At 36.9% G+C, this 27,767-nt stretch overlaps 1 protein-coding gene across 1 annotated transcript in view; it reads left to right on the forward strand.

Moving 5' to 3' along the window:
• Positions 1–27,767, forward strand: part of RORB (RAR related orphan receptor B) — a 195,843-nt gene that overhangs the window by 57,342 nt on the left and 110,734 nt on the right. The window lies entirely within an intron of this gene.

A 27,767-nucleotide genomic window follows, 5' to 3' on the forward strand; every position in this document is an offset into this window, starting at 1 on the left:
AATTAATACAAAGGTCTCAGTTAAAGTAGAAAGATAGTTGAAATACTAGCCTGAAAATTCAGATGACCAATGAATATTTGGCAGCGCCAGGCCACAGCAGTGTGCCCCCTGCTTTCTCTGCTAGTAAGATGGCATTAAGAATTCAGTCCCCACTAAAAAGATATCTTGTCATCCTAGAACATGAGCCAGCATCTCCTTTCTATAGTTGTAAATATAGCCAAATACGATACAGTTACCCCAGTGGTTGGGTGGTGTTTCTCTCAATCAGAATGTGTCTGTGTACAGAAGAGGAGAGCAAAAAAAAGACCTAGAGAGAAACGTGGGCGCAGAAGCAAAATCAACACTGGGAATTGGCTATCTGAGGAGATCAGTCATTAAAACTAGGCACATGCTAATTGCATGGCCTGGCCCCCATTTTTCTCCCTCACAGCCCCCTCTCAATTCAGTTCATTCTCCTAAGCACTGAGGCTACAGCCTGGCTGGCCTCTTATGTAAGTCTGAAATCAGATCTGGCATGCGGTTTGTTTTAGCCTGTCACAGACGCAGGGCACTGTGTTGCCCTCGACAAGGCTGTTCAGCATAGCATATGACTGTAAATCTTCTTTTTCATGTACCACAGTGGGGACCTTTGTCCTAGCAGTGATTTAGCAGCTTTTATTAGCCTGAGAAGCAGCCAGTAATCAGGAGACATTTAAAGTGGAAGCTTGCTCATTTCGATGGAGAAGAATCCAGAAACCAACGGCTCTTTGAAAATTACTTTTGATGGGAGAGAAATAAAACCTTAATACATATAAATATATGGTATGTTTCCATTTTAAATTTATTATTGCTCAAACAAATCTATACATAATTCAGCAAAGACTCAAAGTCACATATCTTTAAAACTTTGCATTCATCAAGTCATGAAGCTCAAGGGTTTATTTAACTCTGAGTTTTCAGAAGTATGCATCTTGAAAGAACGTAGGTCTTGGATGGCAGCTCCCTGTATGTTATTCAGATCCTGGAGTGTCCACAGCTTTTAAATTCACTGTAATTCCAATTAGAGCTTGGGCTCAGGGGTTGGCAGCAGCTGCAAATAAGAACTAATAATGTTTCATTCCACTGCTTATGTATTCTGCAAATGCGTTCTTGACATGGTAGTTTGCATATGATGTCAGCGTGGGAAAATAAGAAGGTATTAGCATCTGTAAGCCCAGCAGAAATTTCTCAGAGAAGTCACTTCTCAAGTTCATACAGCTGATTCCACAATTTAGGCAGTGTTCACATTTTTAAAATATATTTTGGTGATTTTTTAAAATTAATTGAGTCATAAAATATCGATGGTTCTTTATTTGCATGTATTTGCAAAGTTTAAATTCACTTTTTCTGAGATCAAGTTTTCTATTGCAAATTGTTGACGTCGTTACTTTCTGCCTTTGTAATTTTGATGCTGATATAACATAATTATTGTTAGAAATTTAAACATTTATGTATAGCCATCAATGTGAAGGCTAGTGGTTGAAATAACTTCTGTAAGTCCTTGGAACTATTTGTGGGAAGACGGAAGCATTATATGAATCCAGTTCATTTATATATTATACTTATTACTGAGATACGTTATTGTAGAAACACAAGGGCCTCTGCTGTAGGTCGTAGGACCCTCTGGGATGGTGAAAGAGTGTCATATGACACTAAAAGAGTAAAATGAGCCTTTCAAAAGGAACTCTTGCTTTTAAAATGTGGCATAAATGATCTTATCTCTACAGCAAGGAGTTTGATCCTGATTCACAAAGAGCTGGAGTTATGCAGCCAAAGAAAAGTGGAGCCCTGTCCATTTATCTGAGGATTTGGGGACCATCCACAGCGACCAAGCAGATTGTTCAGGAAACAAAGCCCACCCTTCCCTGCATTATCTGATGGCATAGATGGTCTTATATTTCCCAGATAATTGCACCACACACTGTTTTACTTTGCTGGGTCATAGCAATTGGCTGATCTGCCATGAGATAAATGGCAACAACAACAAAAAAAATTCACCAGGAAAGTCATTCCTTTAAAAGTATTTACCTATATGCTGTAGTGGGTGCTTTGTGTGCTGGGGAGCAGGCAGCCAGGATGGGGGCGGTAGGAAATGAGTAATGATCTGATAATGGAGCTGAATGGGGCCATAGAAATATTTTCACACCATCCTGCTATTGCTACAATAGCTGAAACCCAGAAATTTTGTGGCTTTCTTCACAGTCAAATGATGTGTTAATGTCAATAGATTCTGGATGTCTTGACTCATTTCTTGATAATTTTTTTTTCTGCTCTGACTATACTATCGTATGGTAGATATGTCCTTGCCTATTTCGTATTCATTTCCCCCTTTTTTCTACCCACTAGTACCTCCCCTCCCAGCTGTTCTTCCAGGAGCAAACTCTTTCCCCATGTAGCTCATAAGACACGGGTGAAGTTGATCCTATTCTCATCCCCATTATCAGATTGAATCAGTCTAAATGAATCAAGGTGACCTCTTCCCCTTTGCCTGGGATTGCTCTGGGAAACAGGCTTAAGCCAGTCATCACATGGCATTCTCTAACATCGTTGTTGGCTCAAATAAATAGATGAGAAAACTACTATTCTATACTTGAGACAGAGCTACTCCTGCCCCTCCACAGACACGAATGAGGAGGCAGGTAACCCCAGTTGCTGCTGGCAAACATCTGGAACCATGCAGAAAGCCAGCATGAGGAGCAAGCCTTACACACAGAGGAGAATAGTGCCAAGAGAACAATCTGAACCTTAATGGTATTGAACCTTGAGCTTTTCCTATCTCTGGATATTTTAAGGGAATTAATAAATTCTTTAATTGTTTCAGCCAATTTGAGTCAGGAGTTCTGTGACTTGTGGTTGGAACATCCAACCTCATGCACACTAATATAATCAGGTATGCAAATATACCAATACTTATGATTTGGACTAAGGAAATGGTTTTGCTTTTACAGAAGATCCCACTATCATTGTTAACATGGCTTTCTGCAACTTTGGCCTTAATTACGTAACGGCCGAGGACTCTTTATAATATCCCTCGCAACTCAAGTAACCAGGACAAACTTATTAGGGCCTCAGCACACAAATTGCAACAAGCAGAAGCATAGAGAGTAAAGTTCTGTCTTGTTCCTTTTTTTTGGTTTTGCTTTTGATTTCCTAACAAGGAGGAAACATTATGTTTGATTTCTTTCTGGTTGCTCTTATGAGGCACATTTATTGGTTCATGTTGTGTTTTTCTCTAAGTTTTAAGTTTATACAACTTAAGATACGACAACCAATTACTGTATAAAATTTAGAAAATATTTAAACAACAAGAAAATAAGAATGGCCTGTCATAGTCCTACCCTCCGGAGCAAACAATTATTAGCAGATATTTACATATGCTTCATTATGTATATATTTTCATTAATATTTACTTTATGTAAATATTGCTATTTTTAAAACTACTATATTTTTCCCATACTGTGAACATCTTGATTAATGTTATATTCCATTTGAATTCTCACAGCCCTCAGAGCTACCCTTCCTTTTGCAGCTGCTCCTCAAATAGCTGCATCCAGCCTGTGTGCCTACGGTTTGAAAGGATATTCAGTTGAGCTCGAGCAGGATGGGTGACTGTCAGAGCTGGAGACTGTTATTATTAATCATTCAGAATCTGTCGTCCTTGTGTGGGCACTTCTTTGAGATAGGCCTATTACTTCTGCCAGTTTTCCCTCTTTCACTACCTTTTTAACTTAGTTCTCCTTCCCATTTTAAGCCTATATTAAACAGACACATATGTTGACTTCAGAACTTAAATGAATGGAAGATTCACTTGTTATCATAAACTGCATCCATTCATTTGCCCGTTCATCTAACTCATATTTATTGAACACCCTTGCATGGGTTGAGTGGATCACAGTACCTGACTTTCAGAATTTCCAGTGTATTTAGAGAGACAGAACTTTAAAAATATCACAGCAATGCAATGTAAGAAGAATAAGGACAAAGTGCTGAGAAGAGATAGAGGGAGAAACAATATCACAGCAATGCAATGTAAGAAGAATAAGGACAAAGTGCTGAGAAGAGATAGAGGGAGAAACAATGAGAATCTGCAAGCCCCGCTTGTGTTCAGGAGCTTTGCAATCTGTATAATGTCATTTTACATAAGCCTTAAGACTGGTTATTTGCCAGTTATCCTGGGACTTTAGCTGTAGAAAGGATCTGAGTACTTGAGTGCTATATTAAATATCCCCCTTGAAGAGAGTCTATTAAAAGCAGACACATGTAAGTGGTCATTGCTACCAACAATTATGAAAAGAAAATTCTAGGGAGAGTGTAACTGACCCATTTAATTAAGACTTTAGTCTCTTGGATTGGAGCATGGTTGTCCACTTTAAAATGTTGTATTTGGTGGCCATATTTTCCAAACTCCGTGCATACGATTTGATAACCACCATGGGCCCAGGGCAAGAGGCAAAATATATAAAATTACTACTGTTTCGAAAAATCCAAGGCACCAGATCTCTGTAAACAATATTTCCCAATATTTCCTTGTAGATTTGTGTCTTTTTAACAAATCATTTTATTTACCATATATACCAGAATGCCAGGCTTCTAAAACCCCGGAAGAGGTAGAGTGAATCATTATACCTTGCCTCCCAAGCTCCAAGGTACAGAAATTAATGGAAGGCAGACACGTTTGACCTAGCTGCTCCTGCCAGAATATGAAAATGAGACTGGTATTGCGTGGAGTTACTGGATGACAACTCCCTCGACCCAGACCCATGAAACCCATTTCATATAACCTTAGCTACCATGATTCCTTGCATGTTTTTAAGTCTTGGTAAGCTGTTTTTCTTTTTAATATAGCTATGGTTTCACCTTTGACTTTGCACATTATTGATAGAGCTAAAAACCTGATGAAATTTAAAAACAAATCCAGATATTTCAGACTGGATTTTTATACACAAAGACAGGACCTTTGGACTTTAAAGATCACTCAGGCTAGACAGGATAATAATAGTAATATTCTGGTTTTCTATGACATTTTCCTACCAAAGAGATGAATGCACCTTGATAGCAATATTGAAATATTCATAACCTTCTCATACAGTAGATGTAATACTGTTATCCTCCCTTGTTTATGAAAAAAACAAGGCCTGCTTCTTTTGAAGGCATTGTTCAAGGTCATATAGAAGGTAGTTGAGTTAGGACTCTCAGGATATTTCAAGCAAGGACAGTAAGGAAAGATCTAAGAATTCCACATAAATGTCATATGACCACATTGCAAACCATTTGCAAAATGTCATTTGAATGTATTAATATTGAATAGTCATATGGAATGAATCCTGCTTGAAATTCATGTCTCAAAAAACTAAAGCAAAGCTATTCAGAAAATGCCAAGAGAATTGGAGCATTTGTTTCCTCTACGGTTTACCCATTTCTATTCACTATTCTTCAGTGACATGTGAGAACCTTAAGGTTCTCATACAATACGTCGTTTAGGAGTAAGAATCCATCTCTAGAAGCATCCTTTGGGTGTTTACCATACAGCTTAGTCTACAGAGTTCATGTTGCAAGTCACGACTTGAAATGCAAAATGTTTTTAATTTATTGTGTGCTTGTCAGTGTGGCTTAATGAAAGTACTCAGAATTCGAAGTAGGGTGGCGGAAGGCTCAATATGCCACATCCCTTAAATTCTCTAGCAATGTAAGAACACATCCACATAAAGTGTATTAAAGAGCGCTGTATCTCCATCTACGAACAATCATCTCCAACTCTAAACCAGGTTATTGAACTGAAAACATCAGGGAAAATGGCATGAGCAGGGTTGCTTTTTCATAGATCTAAGAAAATACATATATTCTCAGAAGTTTTTAGATTTGGTAGAAACATTTGATATCTTTCCAAAGAGAGACCAAAAGTGGTTGGGTTAAATTTTAAGGCAGATTCCAAAGATCTTAGTCATTCTTTTGAAATTTTTCTGATAAATTTGTCTAATAATAATTTATATAATAAAATAATAAATTTATATAATAATAAACCTAAACCTATTTCAGTATTGATAAATGGTACGTGATTATCACAGTTTATTTGTAGTTTCATAATTACTTGCCCTCACTAAAAATCAAAAGTAAAACACATAAATGGTTCTTTCCTACAACGACGTGGGTTTCTGTTTCTCTTACATAGTCCAGTTACAGCCTGGGAATGTATACTGTTTGCCTTCATTCTATCTGAAAATACATTGGTTATCAGGATTAAGCCTTGAAATCCAGTATGAGACTGTAGTCTTAGCTTTCATTCTATAGTGTGGGTAAGAAGCAGTTATTCCTCCCAGCTCCTGAGTCAAATGAAAGATGATGTTGCTGCCAATAGATTCAACTTCCCTTCCATTCTTCTTTAAGAGAGTAAGCCACACTCTTCTACATACTCCCAGTGAATTGAATGAGAAGAAGAAATATTAGAATCAAATTATAGGAGTGGAAATCTCCAACTTCCTGAGAGGTCTTCATTGAGTCTCTCCCCGAGATGTGAGGAATAGACTATTTCAGCTCATTAAATAATCATCGCTGCATTCTATGTTTCTCTGGTTCTTGTTCTAAATGTCAATCAAAAAGAGGAGTGAAATATCAGGAGAAATAGTTAATAAAGAAATACATTCCCCTGAAAGGTACTAAAGTAAATATCTTATTTTTTTATAAATAACATAAGCCTATACAATCATGTTTTGACATCTGTCTCTAAGTACCAACTAAATGAAGATGAGTTTAAGATTTCAAATCTTTTATTTCTAGTATAAAATAACATTTTAGGACTTAATGTGCCATGTTCATCCACAAAATTGGAAACATTCAAACTAGAATTGTGATAGTTTTATTGGGATGAATGAGTCCTCAGTAATATTTTATTTTTTATTTTGAAATACCATAATTTTAGACTTATAGGAAGGTGCAAAAATAGTACAGAGAGTTCACACACAGCCTTTACCCAACTTTCCCTAATGTTAAAAATTTACATAACCAGAATACTGTGATCAAAACCAGGAAATTAACATTGGTACAATACTACTAATTAAATAAAAAACATTTTTCAAATTTCACCAGTTTTTGCTCTAATGTCATTTTTCTCTTCCAGGATCCAATCCAGAATTCCATGTGCATTTAGTTGATGATGTGTTTCTCTAATCTATGAGAATCTCTCAGTCTTTCTTGTCTCTCATGACCTTAGCACTTTTGATGAGTACTGGCCAGGTATTATGTAGAATGTCACTCCACTCAATTTGGGTTTGTCTGATATCTTCATGAGTAGATTGTTTATCTGCATTTTTGGCCAGAATATCATAAAAACATTGTATCCCTTTCAGTGTGCTATATCAGAGGATGGTGCATGTTGTCAGTACGTCATATTGCTGATGGTGTTTAATTAGATCATTTGCTTAAGGTGGGGTCTTGCAAATCACTAGTAATCTTGACTTTGCTACCCTTGAACCCTTGAAAACTTCTATACTCAAATGCTGTATGTATTTCAGTCTACTTTCTTATTGTACACTCAGTTATATGTCAGATGTAACTCCGTATCTAACCTATAAGGATATGCTCAAATATTATTCTTGGTATCTCAAAGTTAGATCCAATGGAGTAGGAATTCAAATAAAATACTTTATAATGTACTGTGATTCCTGCAATCTTCTCTGTGTGTATGTATGAATAAATTGTTGTATCTGTAATATGTATTACTGCAATGCATTTTATACCAAGGATATCAAGAAATTTATACATTTTCATTTGTTTGGGAATCTCATCTGAGACCAGAGGTGGAGCTCTGAATGCTTTGGGAGGCACTCCAATCACTGTCTTGCTAGTTTGCCTCTTCTTAGACCTGATGTACTAGGAAGCTGACATTTTTTTCTCCCTACTCCTTCACCATGACCCAGTGTTGGCTCATGTATCTCTGAAGCAATAAAGGAGTTGAATGGTGGGATCATCATTTCTTAACAAACATCAGTCAACATGGACACTGGAATCCATGTCAGTGAGGAACTTAGCAAGAATGAGAGCACACAACTAGGATTTTTGAAAACTCTTTTTAAATGTTTCTTATTTTGAAATGCTGTCAAACTTACAGAAAAGTTGCAAGAACAGCAAAAATACTCCCATGTATACCTCACCCAGATTTCCCAATTATTAACACTTTATCACTGTTGCTGTTTCATTCTTGTTCCCTTTCTCCCTCTCCCCCATCTAAAAATCATTTTAAGTGGAAACATGTTCTTTTACTTCTTCAAATACTTCAATGTGCATTTCTTAAAATAAAAACATTATCTCATATAATCACAGTACACTCATCAAAATCAAGAAATTAACAATGATATGTTGCCACTACCTAATGAACAGACCTTATTTATATTTCACCTACTTTCCCAATAATGTTGTTTTTAGCAACAGCTAAAAATCTTAACTGGAGCCCGATCCAGGATCATGCACGCCTTCAGTTGTCATGTCTCTTCAGTCTTTTTTTTTTTTTTTTTTTTTGATGGAGTCTCGCTCTGTCGCCCAGGCTGGAGTGCAGTAGCACAATCTCGGCTCACTGCAACTTCCAACTCCCAGATTCAAGCGATTCTTCTGCCTCAGCCTCCCGAGTAGCTAGGACTACAGGCACCTGCCACCACGCCTGACTAATTTTTGTATTTTTAGAAGAGATGGGGTTTCACCATATTGGCCAGGCTAGTCTCAAACTCCTGACCTTGTGATCCACCTGCCTTGGCCTCCCAAAGTCCTAGGATTACAGGCATGAGCCATCATGCCTGGCCCTCAGTATCCTTATCAGAACTATTTCCTCAGTTCATTTTCTTCCTTTATGATATTAACATTTTAAAATGTAAAGGCCAGTTATTTAACTGATGTTTCCTCCATATGGATTTGTCCAACATTCCTTTGTGACTAGATTGAAGTTGTACATTTTTGACAGTGATGTGTCTCGAAGAGACTTGTAATGAAGGGACTATCTACACAGGTATGGGCAGGGTTAAGGGATGCTGAGGCATGCAGAACTAACAACAAAGGAAGTGGCTACAACTCTAGGGGAGGCTATTTCCAGCTAGAACCTTGGAGTGAGTGGGTTAGGGACTGAGGAAAGCAAGTCTTAGAGGGATGCAGACACTGCCAGAGCTGTGCCAAAGGCAGGAGTGGAAATAGATGCCTTCCAATGGTGACTATAACAAGAAGCCAGAAGGCAGGAAAGACCAGTGATGTGCTTCATAAGTGCCAGCCTTCTGAGGCCCAAAACAAGACAAACAATGGCAAGAGAATGCAGCTGTAGGCAAATGGAGAATAGCCACTGCAAAATTTAATATGCCTGTTTCTCATTTCTCTTCTTCGACACATATCATCAAGCTGTCATGTGCAATGTCGTACACAATAACATATATAAAGAATTCTAATCTATGAATTAGAAAACCTGGTCTCGGTTGCTGGTATCACCTGCTTTGGGCCATGTTACCTTAGAGGAGACACTTAGCCCCTCTGAGTCTCTGTAAAGATGGTGTTCTAACATCTGTCCATCTCCCCCATGATGTGTCTGCAAAGATCATTATCATTGCTATATAATAGGCATAGAACTATGAAGTTAATCACAATTCATTAACTTACAGAAAAAGCAAATGAAGCATAAGCATTTGTGTTTATGCCTCATGTTCAAAGTAATAATGCCTATGCCTCTGTATTTGAATTGTTTTCCAAGAAAACCATTTTCTAGTGTAGTTTTCCCTTCTTGCATCTACTTCCTTGTGAGTTATGTAACCTGCAAATTACTGTAACTCGCAAGCCCACCATTTTCTCCCATTTGGGTAGATTGCTGAAAAGCATTGTACTTGTTTTGGCTGCTGTATCTCTTGGTTGCTCTGTTTTTCTTCCCCATTTGCATTTCTGCAGTCATTACTTTGTATAGCCGACTATGGTTCTTTGAATAGTCAGTAAATATGCAGCTGGTGAAAGGTAGGTAGAGTTAATGTAAACGTGGTTTTTATTTAAGTCTCCTTTTTAAAAAATATAGCATTCACTAGGATTCAAAAAAACTTAGAAATGAAAAAGAAGATTTTTAAAAAGAAAGACTAGGAGAAAGCACTGACAGGTTGAGATTTAATGGGATCTCAATTTCTCAGTTCTGGTATTTTTTTAAAAGGTGTAAAGAGGCCAGAAGCTTAGGCTTGGGTTGGTGGCATTGATAAAGTGTGGCTTTCTGATTGGCAGCAAACATTCAGAACATCTTTCTGCTTACAACTTCTCAGCATGAGTTGAGTAAATATTGGTTCACTGGCATTTTTGAGCAGTGGCAACTATCACAAAGAAGATCTCTTTACTGTAATGGGCACTTGTCAGACACAGAAAAAGAAAACAAGCATCTCTTTAAATTTCCTATTGTGTTGTTACATCTCTGTCAGTGGTGGTTCCTATTATGTGTTACTTGAATCTGGTATTCAGTAACTAATGACATGAATACCAGATATCAGAATAACTCTGAGCTAAAAACACCCAATCTTTGCAAAGACACACCACTCAGCAGAAAGGGTCCTGTGCAAAATTCCACTTATTCACAAATTTATACAAATAAAATTACTGTTTGAGAATTGCTAGAGAGAACCAACAGGTGGATTTCTAACTGTTTCTTCTTTGGTTTAACATCTAGTAACTTTGAGTAGGAGAACAATGAATCTTTGAGACATATTCACTTCAAAATCAATATGTTGAGTAACATCACATAAATGATGAGTTTCGTCACTGTTCATTGCCAGCTCTCATTTTTGCTGGCAAATATCAGCATCAAAATTTTCATAAGCATTCTGTACCTTAGAGATCAAAGTGGTTTTGTTTACTTTTAATTTGATAAGTAGACGTGTGACCCCTAAGTAGTTAAATTTATCAATTGTGAAGTTAAGATGAAAATTATTTATCTTTACATTTATTCAAAAAGTGAAATGTAAAAACTTGTCTTAATATCTTAGACCATGCCTTTCCCTAAAAAGCATCTTCTTTTTCATACATTTTTATTTAAGCTTTTCTGCTTGTGTGTTGGCAAAATAAATCTTTTTCAGGTTATATGTGATTATCCTACAGATATGCTGTTGAGTGAGATCTCCTACTTTCATCATCTATACTTAGACTTAAGTCAGAGTCCCCTTCATGTCTCTTACATGAATATCAGAATTGCCTAATTCGAATTAAAACTTCCCTGATTAATGACAAGTGCTCTTTGAACAAGATGTTCTGATGATCTCCAATCCTAAAATTCCTCATTCAATGGGTTGTGTAAAAATACTTCATACATTTCAGTATTGCTCTCAGGCACTGATGAAGTATTAATATGGGTGAAAAAGACCATAGTCATCAATGTATGTGCTACTTATTGAGGGCAATGGTAAATCTGCTTCCTTCCTCTGCTGTCCTTTACCAACCCCTGTCACCTCAAACGATGAAAGGAAGAGTGAGGAAATGATAAAATCCAAGACCAGGGAAATCCATTAGCCCAAATATGCTCTCCATTATTGCCTTTCATCAAAAGCTTTTACAGCAATTCATTTTTTTCTGGCTCTATGAAATCTAAACTTTTTAAGTTAGAATCTCAAAGTCATTCTGCTTCATAGAGTTGTTGGGAAGATACTAGATAATGCATATACATTTCTTCTCATGTTTTGAGAACATATTATTTATGTTATTTTCTATTATTTTGTTAGTTGTATTAGTTGTATTATTCTGTCTCTACTACTATCAACAGTTTTGTGTTTCCACAGTGGTTCTTTACATCTTCTTCTCCAAATCTTCATCTTTTATAAAATAAGCCCTTCCGGCCGGGCACAGTGGCTCACACCTGTAATCCCAAGACTTTGGGAAGCCGAGGTGGGTGGATCACCTGTGGTCAGGAGTTCGAGACTAGCCTGGCCAACATGGTGAAACCCCGTCTCTACTAAAAACACAAAAATTAGCTGGGTGTGGTGGCATGCACCTGTAGTCCCAGGTACTCGCAAGAGTGAGGCAAAAGAATCACTTGAATCCAGGAGGTGGAGGTTGCAGTGAGCTGAGATGGTGCCACTGCGCTCCAACCTGGAAACAGGGCGAGATTCCATCTCAAAAAAATAAATAAATAAAATAAAGAAGCAGGGTAAGATATAAGGCTGATAGCCCCAAATAAATCAGAGATGTCATTAGTATTTCAGTTATTCAGCCATACTGACGTTGTCATTTGTTTATGTGACTTTTCTTTCTATGTAGGAACCTAAAATAACCCAGAAGTTTCTGTGGGTTTTGGTTTTCCAAAAGCTGTTGCTTGCCTACCTCATTTGGGGCAACAAATGCCCACCCCACCCTTTTTTTTTTTCTGAGACAGAGGCTCGCTCTGTCGCCCAGGCTGGAGTGCAACGGCGTGATCTCGGCTCACTACAACCTCTGCCTCCCGGGTTCAAGGGATTCCCGTCTCAACCTCCCGACTACCTGGAAATACACGCACACACCACCACACCCGGCTAATTTTTTGTATTTTTAGTAGAGACGAGGTTTCACCATGTTGCCCAGGCTGGTCTTGAACTCCTGTTCTCAAGTGATCCACCCGCCTTGGCCTCCCAAAGTGCTGGAATTATGGGTGTGAGCCACCGCGTCTGGTCGGAATGCCCTCTACTTGAGAGGACCCTCTCTAGTCCCAGGAAAGCTGGATGGATTCCAAAGGAAGGAAACAGAGATTGACACAAGACAACATTGAATTGAACCTTCACATTTTCTTCTTGGTTGCTGAGCTCACATAACCAAGATAGGGAAAGGGATAGGAATTCAGAGTAGGTAATGGCAAGGACAGAAAAGTCAAGTTCCCCAATGTCACAGCTCTCAGAAACAGGAACATGATAAATGTAGGGGGAAATGAGGGTCTCCACTGAAACCATAGTTGTAATAGATCCTATGGTTTAATAGAAACCATAGTTTTAACAGGATCTATTAAATTGAATTTAATTCAGCACCACAGTCTCCCCTCATTCTGAGACTTTGTTCCCACTCGTAAGGAAAATGGTACCACTTATGAAAGATAAAGACTCAGCAGTCCCATTTTCAAAACTCTGAAGTATTCCTCTCTCTGAGCGAGTGGTTCCTTTCATTCGAAGGCATTGCATGTATGTGTGCTTTCTTTGGAATGGAAGTGCCATGAAAGAAAACACATTTTGACGAATTCCAGAGGAAGCATCAAGAACTGCCAGGTGACTTGTCATAGAGCTTTCAAGCCTAGTGTCATTTTATTTTTACAACCCAGGGTTTTAGCAACTCAAGAGGCTTTATATGTGTTCATTAACCGCAAATCTGTAATTTAAATGGACAAATTATCCTGGTTAATAATCTAACACATCATTCCCAATTCTTCCTGCTGTCAATATTCGAAACAGAGCTCAATATTCCAAATTTTTATAACACCTTTCACATGTTAAGTGGGTACAGTTTTGACACACAAGACAAAATAAAATAAAATTCCGTACTGGACAACACTCACAAAAGCTGCTTGATTCAGGTGAAAAGTATTTTGCTTCCATATTGGCCTAGAGCATCTATTTATGTATTTTTTTTTTTGAAAATAGAAACTCAAAAAAATTATTGTGATTTTTTTAGGTCATTATATAAGGGATAGAGAGAGGTCACCTAAAATGATGAAAATTAGCACAATAAATATGACTGTGAGAGCAGCAATCAATTCTTTTCTTAAGAAAATTAAACCGGAGCCGGGCACGGTGGCTCACGCCTGTAATCCCAGCACTTTGGGAGGCCGAGGTGGGTGGATAATGAGGTCAGGAGTTCAAGACCAGCCTGGCCAAGATGGTGAAACCCCGTCTCTACTAAAAATACAAAAATTAGCCAGGTGTGGTGGTGGGCACCTATAATCCCAGCTACTCGGGAGGCTGAGGCAGGAGAATCACTTGAACCCGGGAAGCAGAGGTTGAAGTGAGCCAAGGTCGCGCCATTGCACTCCAGCCTGGGCGACAAAGAAAGACTCCATCTCAAAAAAAAAAAAAAAGAAAAAAAGAAAATTAACTGGAAGTTTGTCTTTAAAAATATTACAATAGTTTGAACTAGCATTATCACCTAGAGTGAAATGAACATTTAAAATCTAAACCTAAAATCATATTTATAAGTATAAATGTATATTAAAATATTTGCAGTTTCCTCAAGATATTTATAGTGTCACAGTTCTAAAGTTATGAAAATCTTTCATCTTTTATCAAATATTAAAAATCATACACTCAAAAAAGCCCTTATTAGAAGAACTCTTCTTCTAAGAAAACATAATATGTTTAGCTAGAAACGTTAGTATGAATGTACCAATGTTAAGGTTTTTGTTAGCTGAACAGGTTGTTGCTAGGATAAATATAAACCATTGATATATTATAGTGTAAATAACCATATATGAATGTATTTCAGTCACCAGACACAAATGAAAAAAATTCTTAATAGATCATTATAAAATGGAATTGTTATTATTGTTATGCAAGTCCAAATTGGGAGGTCATTAATTAATACAATGGTATATCTGTCATTATTTCAAGCTTTATCTTATAAAGCTTGTGTTTATTTTTCTTAGTTTTTATGAATACATGAGATGCTTTTTTTAACTCTGCTGTTAAGAAGACTGTACTCAAAGACATTGGGAATGTAAATATATATTAAAGTATATAGTGTATAGTGTAGCCATAGGCAGGTTTATTTATAAATGTCAATGCTATTTTGTTGTGAAAGTTCATTATGATGACAGTTTTAAAAGTAGGGCCAATTCAAGAGTGTTTATTACATACCAAAAAAAGGAAAAAATATTTACCTTGTATTTTTTGATGTCTGGGGATAAGATTAATTTATAAATCGATGTGTTGCATTGAAATAGCAAATGTAAAAACCAGTCACAAATACTAGCCTTAAAGGTAGAATGTGTGCTGTTTTTATAAGGCCCTGCTCATCATTGAAACCAGGTGACTTTAAAAATAATCTACAAAATTAAAAAATTTGAAATTTGGTTTAAAATTTTAAAATACCTCAGAAAAACAATAAAAAGGAAATTATATACTGCATTTGTCACAAATCTGACAACTCTAATACAAATATGCATTTCTCTTTCTTTGACTGTATATAAATAAGGCCAAATATCTAGCTTGTTAAATTAAAGATTCACCTGTATGTTTTCTCCACCAAATATTTGGAAACTCTTGAAATTTTTATTCGATTTTTTTAGATCTCACTAAGGTTTTTGATTAAGATCTTTTTTATTTTCTCCTCCCCTCCTATGTTCCTTTAAAAATAACAGCATATCCATTTTAACAATATAAAACTTCAGTTGATATTTTTTAGAGCTAGTAAAATTGCCAATCTTATAATACTAAAATTCTTCCTTCTTCAGAAATCTTCTTTGGAGTGAATAGAGAATAATCCACAAAATAAATTTAATTCCTTAGAAGTTTGTTATTTTTAATGGAAGGATGTTTTCCATAAGCATTCTTCAAATAGCTTTGCTCCATACCTTCTCACTTTTTAATATTTGTATCATTACGTGTATCAATTTATTTATAAATTAATTGAATTCTGCATACAGGCATATATGTGCTGAATGTGTAAATGAATATGTATTTGTCATCTTTAATGTATTTGAATTTGGCTGATGCACCCATAAAAAAAGCCTCCAGCATATTTGCATAATTAAGCATAATATTATGATAAACCATTTCAAGGGAAAAAGTTGGTCTTACAATCACAATATGTTTATTTTTTTAACCTTGTAAATTCAGAATACATTTGTGGGAAGAACTGGAGATAGAAAAGATCGGCTTTACCTTCATGAAAAGAGGTCAAATGTTACTTTAATTAATCTTGTGTTATGCCAAAAAGAGTATTTATATAACACATAAATATTAAGCATGGCTGGTACAATTTTAGGGGAGCAAGAGTATTCTATTCCTTCTAGCTTTCACATAAGAAAAGAATTCTAGAAGAATTCTTGATTAAGACTCAAGTGTGCTACAGCTTATGAATTTGTGTGTGCACACACGTGTGTGTGTATGAATGTGTCTCACCACAGAGCCTGAAAAATAGTGTTCAATACATGCCGTTTGATTAATTCTTACTATACCTCCGAGTTATATCATCAGAACATATGTGAAGGTGACTAAGCAAATGGATCTTTTAAAAGGATATTACTTTTACATTTTATTATTAATATTTTTTAAAGTAAACCTCAAAAATTGTAAATTCTGGGAATCACACTATTGTTGTGAATTAATAATAAATAATATAATTAATTATATTATAATTAAATGATTGCTAGTTTTATAGATAGAAAATTCATGAACAAAATAGAAAATAATTTAACCTATGGAGAAATGTGTGCATTAAAGTTTCATCCCAAGGCTAAGTCAGTACTGTAGTTATTGGTGACATCGTGTGGTTGATGCTGGTATCGACAGCAGAGTCAGAGCATTTCCTAAAAATTGGTTAAATTACTATAAGCAAAATTAAAGTCTTAAAATGCACATTGTCTCGATTAAATTTGAAACAAAAAATTTCACCTAAACCATGACTAAATCATTCATCCCTCAAATTCTAGACCTCTTTTAGAATATTGTGGTATGCAGACACATGAAAATTGATGCATTACAATAGTACACAGCAGAGAGTACTCCGGAGCAGTATTTTTCACTACAGTACTTGCTACTTTCCTTTAAAAAAAAAAAAAAAACACAGTTTTAATTACTAGAGTTGGGGAACAGTTGTTCTCTCCAAAAAAAGGGTAGAATTCTCTATTCACTGTCTCACATTTTTACTTGAAAAAGTTATCGTTGTTAAAAGAATTTTAAAAACTTAATTTGCATCCTATTTTTATTTAAATTACCTCTGATATTTTAACCAAATATTATCACTGCTGGAGAGCACCTAATATTACTCAATATTATTTTTTTCGTAATAGTAAAAGGTGAACTAATTTTGTTTTAAACTTTGAGGTTAATTTTTTAAATGAGAGTTCTGGTTTTTAATATGGTAACTTTGACCTCCACAATGTCATGCTCCTATAGTTTGACAAAATAGGAGGTTGCAGATGTTAAATATAGCCCTGTTCTCGTAGAGGAAAGGCAAGGTTGCAAGGCAGGATTTCCAGCACAGATTGTAGTAAATGCTTTCTGAGCCATCTTCCTCACACAAAGAAGCGGTGATAATTCCTTCCGTGGACATTCCCAGTCGGTGCACATCTCTGCACCTCCCCCGCCCTCCTGAGGCTCTTACCTGGTTTCTGCATAACATCATATTGCATAGTGCAGAGACCCCTGGGGAACTTTCTTTCTCTACCTGGGGAAGGCCTTCTAAACTCTAACATAGCACCACCTGAGATATTAATTTGCGACTCTTGCTAGGGTTTAGTGAAAGCTAATTCCCTAGAGTAACTATTATTGTACCATGCGATACTGAATGAAAAGCTCCATCGTTCTGTCTCTTTTTAAAATTCAGACTGCTAAATTCAACGGGATAGGGAAGCATAGATAACATTTATTAATATAGACAATTTTCACTGGTTTTAAAGGAAGATGGTTATGATGGGTACTGATATGAAAAAAAATATTATGGTCAGTTATGTCTCAAGACCAAAGTCACAGGAAATATAATCCTTATTTGACTATGAACATGTCCCAAAGAAAGCACAGGTATGAAGTCTTTTTCCTGAGCTTAGATGACTGAGGAAATCTGGGGTTACCTGGCACTGCATGCAAGCTATTTTTGGAGAGAGCCAAGATCTGCCTCTCATCAAGAAAGATGCCCCACCATGATAGCTGGTTATTGAACTGGTAGCATTGACAATTGATGAGGTGATGTTATCACCTTTGAAGTGCGGGTCACAGGAGGGAAAAAGGGTGCTCTTGAGGGTAATGAGATACAAAACCAGCAGAATCACACTGCCATTGCCCAGAGCTAAATTAAAACCGGTAAGGAGAACCCCTTGGAATATTTTTTCTTTCTACACTTGGGGCCAGTCTTGGGATTAATTAGCTAAATTCAGCTGAAATCCCTGTTTTCCTCAGTAGGTTTCACTTAATTACTTTATATGTTTCCTCATCCAGGTGTAACATGACAATATAAGTTAAAACAATTCCCAGTAGTACCACCTTGTGAAAGATATTCCCAATTTTCCCTTCGTGTGTGGCACAAAGGGTAAGAATGTGAGGAAATTGCATATCGAACAACTGTTCCAAAATTAGCAAATTGTAGCTGAATTTGAGACGGTAATTTTCACTCTTCAGAATCTTTTAATTGTAGATCACAAAAATCTTATCTTCTTTGTATTAAACTATTTTGGTAATTCGGTCAGGTGCCCATTTTCCCAATCTACTAAGTATATAACTTGAGGTAAAAGTAACAAAAGTTTCACACATACTTCAATTACTGAAGACTAGACAGTTTTCAAACGTGTTTTTTTCCACATCTTAACTCCATGGACCTCACTTTTTTGAACAAAGTATGTGGTGCCATTTTGGACATTTAATTAACTGGCACATCTTGTAAAGAATTCACACATGATCTGTAGCTGTTTTGAGGGGGTTGCACATCAGATATCAATGAGGGGCCAATCAGCCACTTGTGCATGTCATTTGTACAAGTGTGTTTTCCCATTCAATTTTGGCTCCACTCTAAATGACAACGTCAGTGCTTGAATTTTTTCCACAGAAGGCCAGGAAGCACTGCATTCCCTAAGCTTGATGTGACAACCTTCAACCAAAGGCTGAGCTTTTGTTATTAAAAAAAAAAAAAAAAAAAAACTGGGCCTAATGATTGCAGCAAACAGCGTTGGGATTTTATTGATGTACTCTATGTGACTGTGACAGTGTTGACATGAAATCAAATTCAATTAGCAGGGGCTTGCTAATGACTTACACTGCTTCAAAAACTCACAAGGACAAAGCACTTGGCCAGAAATCTCCCGGCTACTGTCTGGTTTCCAACTCCTTTTGGTTGCTTCTCAGAGCAATAACCAACTGCCAGATTGTCTCCATAGATTAATGTTAAAGAACTTCACTAATGAAACTCTTGACAACATCTGTGTGTGATGAGAGGGAAAGGGTAGGGAAGGGAGACGGAATTTCTGTCCTCAGGTGCTCTTGAAGCAATTTCTAAAACCACTGTGGAGCACATCGAAAGAAACAGCAACTGTGTCTCTGGAGGATAACTTGGCTGGACAGGGTATCAAAGCTGCAAGGGGAAATAAGGTCTGTGGTCAGGATAGGGTTTCAGTAAGGCTAGAGGCACCCTCTCGGAATGCGTGGGAGGCCAGGCCATTATCTGAGCAGTATTTTAAAGGAACAGAGGCGCCATTATGATGCCTGCATCAACCCAGCAAGATGAAGATGATGTCCGTTCTAGATTTCCACAGCTTTTATTGACGGCCTCCTCATTGTGTCTTTCCTGATTGTCTGGCAGTCTCATTATCATACCCACTCCTTCCCCTGAAAAGGAGCAGGAACAGCTTTGACTCACACATACAACTCCCACTACCTGATTAGCAAACAGATCCAGCCCTGAGTCAGTTTCAGGGGTCCTCCGTAAATACAATGTCAAGTAAATAAAGTATGATCTTAATTGACAGAAAGTTTACGAGGGGAAATAAGCCAGTATTCTGCTGTGTTGTTATATCACTTTAACACTTCAAGATGGTTTACTTCAATGTTTATCCTCAAATTACCTTCTCCATTTTACCTCACAGATATTTTCCCTTAATATTTCTTTCTTTATTAATTTAAATATGCTGTTAACAACAATTGCATAAATAGTAGCATTAAGGAGCTCTAAAAAATAAATAAATAAAGCATGGAATCTGGTAAAAACATGGCTATTTGTGTGTCTTTAGGCCTTCACCACCATCCACATTATAGTGCAACCAGATTATTGTAAAACAACAAAACCTCAGAGTCAGAATTGGGCACAGACTCCAACCTTTTGGGATCTCCCGTAACTTGTAGGTAAATTGACCATGTAACCCTGCAACCTGAAAACATCATTAAAAAGCCATAAACTAGTCATACGATTGAGAATCCAAGCCACTAGTGATATGATTTTCACAAGCAAGAAGAAATCTTAAAATTCTAGTGACTTCTGAGATTATAAAGAAAGAGGAAAAGACAGAAAGCAACACCTCAGGAAGGAGTTTTAACACGAAGGAGAGCCTCTTCCTATCGTCAGTCCCAATCACACTGCTCAGTGGTAAGCTAAGCGTATATGGGACTGAAACTTAGCACTGATGGGGGCCAAAAGAGTATTGCATACCAGGAATATAGAAGTAAATAACTATAAGAAATTGAAGTTACATAAAGTGTGTCCTAAACCCTTGAAAAACTGCTTGAGCCATGTTAACAATGAGTACGGACACCTTAAATACCTGGACTGATACAAAAAAGGTAGACTGTGCCTCTCTCAGTAACAACTGCAAGACTATCGTTTTATGCCCAGACGTGTAACAAATCACATTGTTTACTCTTTAAAATTACCCGGTATTACTCTTCTCATTTTACAAACAAGGAAACTGAGTCTCAACCTCCTTGATGGCTCCAGAATTGCTCAGGAAAATGTCCACTCGTTGGAGACAGTCCCAGGACAAAGGGAAGATGGAGGACCTGCAGGGCTTTGCATTTGCTTAGCAGTCACCCTCTTTTCACCCAAGTCGATTGTTTATTTGACATGACTTAACACTGCCATTCTCTTCACCTGAGCACTTCAGAAACTTTTCTGAAGCCCCCTGAGCAGTACAGGAAGTGGTAGAGCGAGAATGATTTGTATTCACCTGCCTGACAGGAAAGCCTGTGTTTTTATGGATCACCTGCAAAACTTTCTAACTTTCATTTACTATTATTATCTTCCAGGACAAATGGATATGCCTGGACACTCACCAAGAAATAGGCTAATTATTTCAAAAGGCCCAATTGTTAAAAAAAATCTGACTACTAGAGCTCACAAGGCAGTTGACACAGAAAAATGTTGTTCAGTTTCCTGTATAAGTTAGAGATCTGCCTCCTAAAATCTTGCATAGATTAAAAGTCAGAAGAGGGAGGGATAAAAAGCAGTCTCCTTATACAGTGGTACAGGGAATATTAGACCCCACAGAGTAGGAAGGACAAATCAGACACAATATTATGAAGATCAAATGAGATAATGCATGTAAAAGCACTTTGTAAATGAAAAAGCCCTGTGAAATGTGAGCTGGTGTTATTATTAATATTATCACGCAGGATTTCTTTGCCTCCTTCTTAATAAAATAATGGTCTTCTTCAAGGTCCCTCGAAGCCAAACCAAAGGAGTGTGTTTCCAGAGAAATGAAAAGTAAAGGTAATTGTGGATGTTCAATAAATATTAAACAGCCTCGCTGTTTGTGGGAAGCTTCAAGTACATGATTAAGTTGCAGGTGATAGTAAAGGAAACCAGCATGATCTTTAATTATAAAATACTTGTTAGGTTTGATTCCAGTAAAATGCAATTACCTTGAGACTTCTGGTAATATCTCACAAGAGGCTATGTTCTCAAGATGAAAGCTTTTGTGGATGCATGTTAGACTCCATTGTTTGGGACCATGTACACCCATCCTGGCTCCTGTCTGTAACAGCTAATCACCATTAACTGGACGAGCCTTGCAGGAATTCCCAGTTGTATGCCAGCCATTCTGTGGCCTGCCTTGAAGTATGGAAACATCACAGAAGTGGGAATAAGGGCAACAGTGGCAGACCACAGCATTAGCTAGGCTTAGGGAGAAAGAGAAGGGAATTCAAGATTTCATAGGGGACAAAAGAGGGCCCAGTAGGAGGGAGAAAATGGAATTGTCCTTGTACATGTCATGATGATTATAATGCAAACAATTTTTTTTAAGACTAGCAGGGAAACCTCTGGATTTCATTTTGGAAAAGTATCCATCAATCTGTATAGCTTCATTTTAAAATGAAATTTTTAATCAGTGTATATTTTTTGAACCCGCCTGGGAAAGCAATTGGTGGGCTTAGAAAATGTTATTTTGAAAGCCTTTTTTAGTTTCGTGCTGGTAGGGTTCCAAAAGCCTTTTTTAAAGAACATTCTTATATAATAATGATAGCTAACACTTAACTAGTGGGTACTACATGCCATGTACCAGCAAGTGCTTTATGTATGTTAACTCTGTCAATACTCATAATGAACCCATGGGGAAACCGTGGCAGTAATGCTCATTCATTTGTCTACAGTCACACAGCCTGTAAGAGGAGAATCCAGTTTTCATGTCCAGGCAGTCTGGATGCAGAAATAATGCTCTACCCCGTCAACATTGCCTCCAAGGCCAGTGCTCTAGAGGTTTCAAGTGTATGTAGGTTACAAGAAAGACTGCATGTGTGTGTCTATGTATTCTGCTGAAGGGAGATGCTTAAGATGAAAATGTTTACCCATTAAAAACTATGTTGCTTATCTTCTTACACACTGAAGCAATTGAATTTTGCTGGGTTTTTTTTCTCTCTATGTTCATCAGTTTCTTCTTGTACAATCAGTTCTATGAATTGGACTTAGTTTCTTCACTAATGTCAAAATCGTTCTGTAAAAGAGTCCTATCCTCCTTTTAAGAATGATCTTGGTGTCTTTCCTTTGGCTTCCAAATTATTACTACTTTAAATTATAGTCAAGGGCTTTAATGCAGGGTTACCATGATTCTACTTTTAGGCATCTACTTAGTTTCCTTTGCTCTTCCTCACCCTAAATTTGCTCTAGGGAGCACTGTCAGGCATCACAGTACATGACTCTTCAAATGGAAAGTACCTGTCAGTAAGCAAAATAGTGTGTATATTTCTATTTGGAAGAAACTGTGAGCTATGGGCATGCAATTGCAAGGTGAATGATAGATGGCTCCAAAACCAAGAGCAAAACACTTCCTGAGAGAAAGTTAGCAGAAGGTGACACCCATTATGGATGCAAAGTGAAATGGGGCAGAGACACCAAAACCAAATAAGCGGGTTTGCCCCAGCTCTTTTACTTTCCAGTTATTTAGCCTCACTGATCCTCAGATTCCCACCCTATAAAATGGAGGCAAAAACATTGGCTCTGTAGGTTTATTATGAGAAATAAATGAAAACCTGTATAAAATGCCTGACACACTGACAGATGAGTTATGGTGCCAAGTAGTAATTGCTTTTGTTCAATTTGGTTTCTTAACTAAAAGGAACCTTGTGACCCTCCTTGAGACTGTCTCCACAGTTCTCGGGCCCCAACTCAAAGAATCCTAAGTATTAGCAGAACTGAAAGAAATCTCAAAATATTATGTAGCCTAACTGGATAAAGTATTAATCCCTACCCACCCTCCCATTTTACAGATCAGGAAACTGAGGACCTGAGAAGGTAAGTGGCTTGCTCAAGGTCATACAGGAGCAAATGAGGAAGATAAACTTGGGACTAAACACTGCCTCCTTATTGGGCATTTTTCACTATGCTTGCTGTTTTTCTTTGTACTAAAAGTCTTAGGACAGTAGGGGTCATCCAAGAGCAATCCTCTCTAAATTTTTAGTGTTTCCAATCACCAAGATCATATGATAAAAACAGGGGTCTAGAAAGGGGACAAGATACTGATTATATTAGGTCGTTAATGGCTCATGTGAGAAAGAAAGCAGTAAATGTTTATTGAGAGCATTATGAAGATCCAAACTGAACATCTTTCTAGAGATGGTCCTATTGCCACATTATTTGGTTGAGTAAAGTATGTTTAGGTTTAGGGAATGAAGGACTTTGGGAAGTCAAAGACAACCGTGTAAAAACACCAATGACATGCAATTTACCCATGTAACAAACCTGCACATGTACCTTCTGAACCTAAAATTAAAAATGGAAGACAAAAAATTAATAAAATTTAAAAAGACGACCAAGTGATACAGTTGTCTTATCAAATGAATTCTTTAAATTGTGACATGAAATGCTGTAAAAGATATTTTATTTTGAATTGTAAAGGTTTATTTGGAGTAGAAGATCCTTTTTAAGGATACCTTATTAATACCATATACCACAAGTGTAGTTAAAATGGTACAAGACTTTAGTCTTCGGCACTGTTTCTATATGAAGTATATTCTGGTTAACTCACTACTGGGGTTCTATCTTTCCTCCCAAGGCCACCCAAGTCATTTGCACAAGTTCTGATTGCCAGTCAGGTACTCTGCTGGTTGGTATGTTTCAGCATGTCCTCATCCTTTGTCCTCTGCCTGTCCTGCTGTACTCCAGCTCACCAATCAGCAATTATCTGCAAGTGAAAAGAGAGGACTCACTGACCTTGATTTTATATATATGAGTAGATGAATGTCTCTTCCCAACGAACTAGTGTTTATACTCTATTAATCCTATGTATGAAGATTTTTAGTTGAACATTAAATTATATTTTTGAGATTTTCTAATGTTTATTCCATTGTTTCCTCATCTAGACTAATAAGCAACAATTTATATTTAGTAAATAATATTTAGTCTTATAAGAAGCATCCCATTTCATAGGACTTTCAGCAAGTCAAGCAAATGAACATAGAATTTTAAACTAAATAGATATTAAGTGCTGGACAGTAGCAAAACTACTGTTTTATTACTTATTAAACACAATTAATTAATTAAACACATTAATTAATGATTTACACATTGCAAAGTGTACTTTCACAGTTTTATATTTCTTTCTTTTTTTTCTATTTGTCTGTTTTAAGTTGCTGGCAGCATCTTTGAGCATTTTAAACAGGCTGAATTCCCAAAGGCTTTCCTCCTGGACAACAGAATTAAATGAATTCTGAGGGGTGGGTCAGTTTTTTTTCTCCTGGTTTTGTTAAAAGCTACAATGTTGCAATACACAAAAGTTGGGTTGACACAAGATTAAAATATTGATGGTTAACAAAGCTTCTGGATAACGAGCTTATTTGCCTAAGAATGTAAATTGCAAACCTGAACTTGAGAAACCCTTTCATTGACTTTTCCTATCATATCACACTCACCACAATAGAAGGGAGTAACATATAAAGCCCCAGCAATACGAAATGGAAAATACCAGATTTTTATTTCAATTGGTACCACTCAGCCTTGGCTCTCATCTGTCAGTGGACAGAGTTTCTTTCTGGGAAGCCTTATCTGACCACAGAACATTGCGAGAGCAAGAGCGGTGTTTCAGAGCTTAAAGAGTTTTACAGTAGTTCCCTCTTATCCACGGTTTCGCCTTCAGCAATTTCAATTATATGCAGTTAACTATAGTCTGAAAATATTAAGATATTTTGAGAGAGAGATAAACCACATTCATATAACTTTTTACAGTATGTTGTTATAATTGTTCTATTTTATTATTGTTGTTTATTATTATTGTGCCTAATTTTTAAATTAAACTATCATAGGTAGGTATGTATAGGAAAAAACATGGCATTTAGAAGGTTTGGTGCTATCTGTGGTTTCAGGCATCCACTAGGGGTTTAAGACCATATCCCGTTTGAATAAGTGGTGACGACCGTATTTAGCAGGAGTAAAATTTGGAAAGGCACAGACATAATATACCTCAACAAGAGTGTAAGTGGAGGGATGAGGAAGTCATCAGCCAGTGTAAAATAAACTTCCCTGTGACACAGAGAATCTCCAAAATATGTATAAAATACAGTTGAATGTTTTTCTATGGTAATTTGCTAACCCAATGTTACCTTTTGCCAAGATTTGCATGGATACTCAAGAAAGTGAAATTATTCTAATAGATCTTGTTCCTTGATTGGGATCCAGAATCATCTTTCCATGAGATACTGCCTAGCAAACCGTGTAAGACCAAGACAAGAGTAAAGTCTCATTGGTACACTAATTGATGGTGGCTAATGGGAAGATTAGAGAGACTACCACTTCTCATTTGTCACTGCAGTGCCCCAAAAATAATTCTATAATGATTTTTTTAGGAATATACTTTTTTTCTGAAAGGAATTAAGGCCATCAAAATATGTTCATCAGGGATAGTAAATCAGTTAGTTGCATTTTCCTTAAACTGCTGATCCCAACCAATTCACAGAAATCAGCCCAAACAGGTGATAAGAAAACTCGCTAGCCAATGTTTTATAGTGATGTCATCTTACCTTGGGGTAGCCACTGAAATAAACTGTGCCTCAGTTACTTTGACTGTATAATGGGAATGTTTATAACAGCAAAAGTAGTAAGACAAAAATTTCTCTAGAAAGTCCACAAATAAATAAGGGGAAGTCATAGCTCTTTCAGAATCAAATACTCCATTGAATCTCCAGACGTGAATGAAGTTTTGCCCCACCCAGCTGTGGGGAGGAGCCAGAATTTCAGATGGGGATGCAGTCCAATTTCTTCCCTCTACATTAAGGGCTTATTCCTGAGTAGTCTCTGAACTTGGTAGCACAGAATCACAGACATCTTACATAATTTCTCTGTGTCCCTAAGTTGAAATAAGAATGTATTTACTAGCTTCTTCCCTCATGAAAATTCACCAGGCCCTTAAGAACCTCAACCCTTTAAACCTTCTTAAAGGTCCTAAGCCCCAGAGAAAAGTCTCCGTGCAATCTCAGAGACCAAAAAAATGCACCTATGACATATAAAACAGATAGTGGTAAAAGGTTAGGAAAAGATCTACTCTTTCTTGAGCTGTAAACAAACATTCTCCATGTGCTCTACTGCTACATCAGCTGACTAATAAACTAAGACCAGTTTCAGGGGGAAAATGGGGAAGAGATCATTTACTAAGGAAACCAGGTTTGTTTTGTTTTTCATCTCTTATCCCAGGAACTTAAGACCAAAGGAAGTCTTCTATTAACAAGTGAGGTTTGCCAGAAATGAATTGATTGCCTTCACAACCTCACCACACTTTTGGAAGGTGTCTCCACCTGCTTGAGCAGGAAAAGTTTGCAGACCTCAAACCAAAATACAAAGGAGCAAGAGATATTAGCCATAAAATGTGAGCCTAAATCTTCCTCTTTAAATCTTCTACTCTCCCTACAAAAGTCGGGAGATCTGCATCACTCTATTCAGAGGTTCTGGTCTGCAATGAAATTCTCTCTTAATAAACTGATTCCCCCCTGAGAACCAAGCATCATTTGATATTGAATTCATGAGTGCAAGTAGGCATGAGAACACAGGGCATTCCTCTGATGGATTATTACATTATATATTTTATGCCACAATTTCTATAGGGCTTCAGAAACTCAAAGGTGCCTGCTATGTGCTTTATACATGTGTAGATGATTATTTTACATTCTAAAAAATAGCATTGCTATTTTAGCTCTTAAAGTCTATACTCATGAAGTGAAATGAAGAATTTTCATCTGTATCAATCAGTTCAAAGAAAAATCAGATTCCTTGGGTTTGTGGTGACAGTATAAATATTCTATCATCTATTCAGTGTCTATTTATATCTCTTCTTGAAGTTAGCAGCATGGATGAAATAGTGCATTCTGTCAGGAGAAGTAACACTCAAAATGGCATTGTGCTTTAAGTGGAGTGGGAAAATTATAAGACTACACAAGTTTATAACCATACTTAGTTGTTTAGGCCATGATATTAATAAGACCAAGATTTAGGATTGAAATTATGAGCCAGTAAACCATTCTAGGGTAACTGACTTCCTACCTTTCTCGATTATGAATTTCCAGCTGGCTTTTCCTATGTGTACAATAAAGAACTAGTCAAGAGGGCAAATGGGCCAGTGGAAGATTTCTCCCATATTAGAAAAATGGCTCAGAGCCCATGCCCTAGGAATGGCAGATAAGGAATGTGAT

Source organism: Homo sapiens, chromosome 9 (assembly GCF_000001405.40).
Source record: "Homo sapiens chromosome 9, GRCh38.p14 Primary Assembly".
NCBI classification, from domain to species: Eukaryota; Metazoa; Chordata; class Mammalia; order Primates; family Hominidae; genus Homo; species Homo sapiens.